Source organism: Homo sapiens, chromosome 6 (genome assembly GCF_000001405.40).
Source record: "Homo sapiens chromosome 6, GRCh38.p14 Primary Assembly".
Taxonomy (NCBI): Eukaryota; Metazoa; Chordata; class Mammalia; order Primates; family Hominidae; genus Homo; species Homo sapiens.
This window is the reverse complement of record NC_000006.12, coordinates 73,417,567-73,420,436: the sequence shown is the minus strand read 5'-3', so window position 1 is coordinate 73,420,436 and position 2,870 is coordinate 73,417,567.

Below are 2,870 nucleotides of genomic sequence, written 5' to 3'. Positions count from 1 at the left end.
GGGGATTCTGGACAACTGGACCCCTAGGAACTTGAAAAACAGCTGCTTTCATTGGTATTCTTTTGACATGGGGAAAATATAGCCATTGTCCATTAAAACACAATCCAATTTGGGTACAAGTACTCTTCAGGTTTTCTAAGTTCTCCACAGGAATACCAAGACTAGGCTACCATCTTTTCTGACAACAGACTACTTTTTAAATAAGCTTTGTAAGTCCAAGATTTCTGGCAGAGAAATGTAAATAAAAAATAAAAACAAAAATAAATAAGTCTTGTAGAACCATTTGCTTCCATACATTACATGTATATTTGACTTTGATAAAAATGAAAACAATTTTTTTTTTTGAGACAGAATTTCCCTCTTGTTGCCCAGGCTGGAGTGCGATGACCTAATCTTGGCTCACTGCAAACTCCACCTCCCGGGTTCAAGCGATTCTCCTGCCTCAGCCTCCCGAGTAGCTGGGATTATAAGCGCCCGCCACCACATCTGGCTAATTTTGTATTTTTAGTAGAGACCGGGTTTCTCCGTGTTGGTCAGGCTGGGCTCGAACTCCTGACCTCTGGTGATGCGCCCGCCTCGTCCTCCCAAAGTGCTGGTATTACAGGCGTGAGCCACTGTGCACGGCCTGAACACATATTATTTTTAAATTTTTTCATTTTGCCGGGCGCGGTGGCCTGAACACATATTACTTTTAAATCTTTTTCATTTTGCCAGGCATGAGGGTGGATGCCTGTAATCCCAGCTACTTGGGAGGCTGAGGCAGGAGAGTCGCTTGAACCTGGGAGGCGGAGGTTGTGGGTGAACTGAGATTGTGCCATTGCACTCCAGCCTGGGCAACAAGAGTGAAACTCTGTCTCAAAAAAAAAGTAATATGTGTTCAATGTGAAAAAGTCAGATGTTCACGTTAAAGTGTAAAAAAAAACAAACAGTGAAAATACAGAGAAATAGCATTATTAATCTAACATTTTATTACTGGGTAGTGCCACGCAATTCCAGGCTCCTGGTGTCTTGTTTTGTTTGTTCATTTTTGAGACGGAGTCTCACTCTGTCACCTAGGCTGGAGTGCAGTGGCCCGATCACAGCTCACTGCAACCTCTGCCTCCTGGCATCCAGTGGTTCTCCTGCCTCAGCCTCCTGATTGGGACTGCAGGCCTGCGCCACCATGCCTGGCTAATTTTCATATTTTTAGTAGAGACGGGGTTTCACCACGTTGGGCAGGCTGGTCTCGAACTCCTGACCTCCAGTGTTCTGCCTGCCTCGGTCTCCCAAAGTGCTGGGATTACAGACGTGAGCCACCGTGCCTGGCCTGGCACTTGGTGTCTTGAACAAAGACTTGGATGAGACACACACAGATAGTAAATAAAGCAAAGCAGCAAAAGCTTATTAAGCACTCTCACAAAGGGGAGAGCTGACTGACTTCTGTGAGATGAGATCAGCCTGGTTTGTTACATTTCATGGCCTTTTCTTTTCCTCACTTGCTTACCCTCACTTTATTTCTTGTAAGCTAATTGCTCATCCTTGCTTAACCTTACTTTTTTTTTTTTTTTGAGACAGGGTCTCACTCTGTCACCCAGACTGGAGTGCAGTAGCGTGATCTCGGCTCACCGCAACCTCTGCCTCCCAGGCTTAAGTGATTCTCCTGCCTCAGCCTCCTGAGTAGCTGGGATTACAGGCATGCCCCACCACCCCTGGGTAATTTTTATATTTTTAGTAGAGATGGAGTTTCACTATGTTGGCCAGGCTAATCTCGAACTCCTGACCTCAAATGATCCACCCACCTCGGCCCCCCAAAGTGTTAGGATTACAGATGTGAGTCACCGCACCCAGCTGCTCATCTTTACTTTCATTTTTTGTGACCAAATTCCTACTGCAAGTCCTTGTGACTTATTTTTTATCCTGTATGTTTTAACTCACTGCTTACTCCCTTATTTCGTATGTTCTGCTTCTGCTATCTTACATGTTTTGTTTTTGCTATCACTTAAGCTAGCCTACATCAAAGGGTTCCCTTTGTCCCTGACTTCCTCTGCTATTCTCCTGCCTCAATTTTTCTCTGACTGATTTTAGGATTTTTGTCTTTGGTATTCTGGAGTTTTATTATGAGATGCCTGTGTATATCTTTATTAAGCAGCTGGGACCACAGGCATGTGCCACCACGCCCAGCTAATTTTGTATTTTTAGAGACAAGGTTTCATCGTGTTAGCCAGGACGGTCTTGATCTCTTGATGTCGTGATCCTCCCGCCTCGGCCTCCCAAAGTGCTGGGATTATAGGCATGAGCCACTGCGCCCAGCATTGTTCTCATTTTTTAATGTCTCTACATCCTTACAACTCCCCACTCCCAGACTTAACCAGAAACTTATTTGATTGGTCTTACTAAAGAACCTGCTGTTGGTTTTCACTGAACTGTTTTCCAATTTATTCATTTCTGCTTTTACCTTTATTTTCTTTCCTCTATTAGGTTCTCTATTTAACCTTATCGCTAATAACAGGAAGCAATTATTGCAGTAATGAAAAATTCACGTGATGAAGGCTTAAACTAATTATACACAAGTATATACTCATAAATTCTGAAAGTTAATATAAGTTACCCTCATTTATGGTGGAATACATAACATAAAACTGTAAGGGAAGGATGATGGTAATTTGATCAAAGAAAATTTCATGGAAGTGCAATTTGATTTTCCAAGGGTTTTAGCGTGAAGCCATAGGCTAAAATGAAAAGGTAAACTGTTGTTGCATATTTTGACCTTATGAAATAATTTACTGTTTCATTTCAAAGTGGGTAAAGGATAATTTAAGTATACCCCAATAAAATATTATTTAGCAAACACAAAATTAAAACGCTATACAGAAAGACAAATTATCAACTTG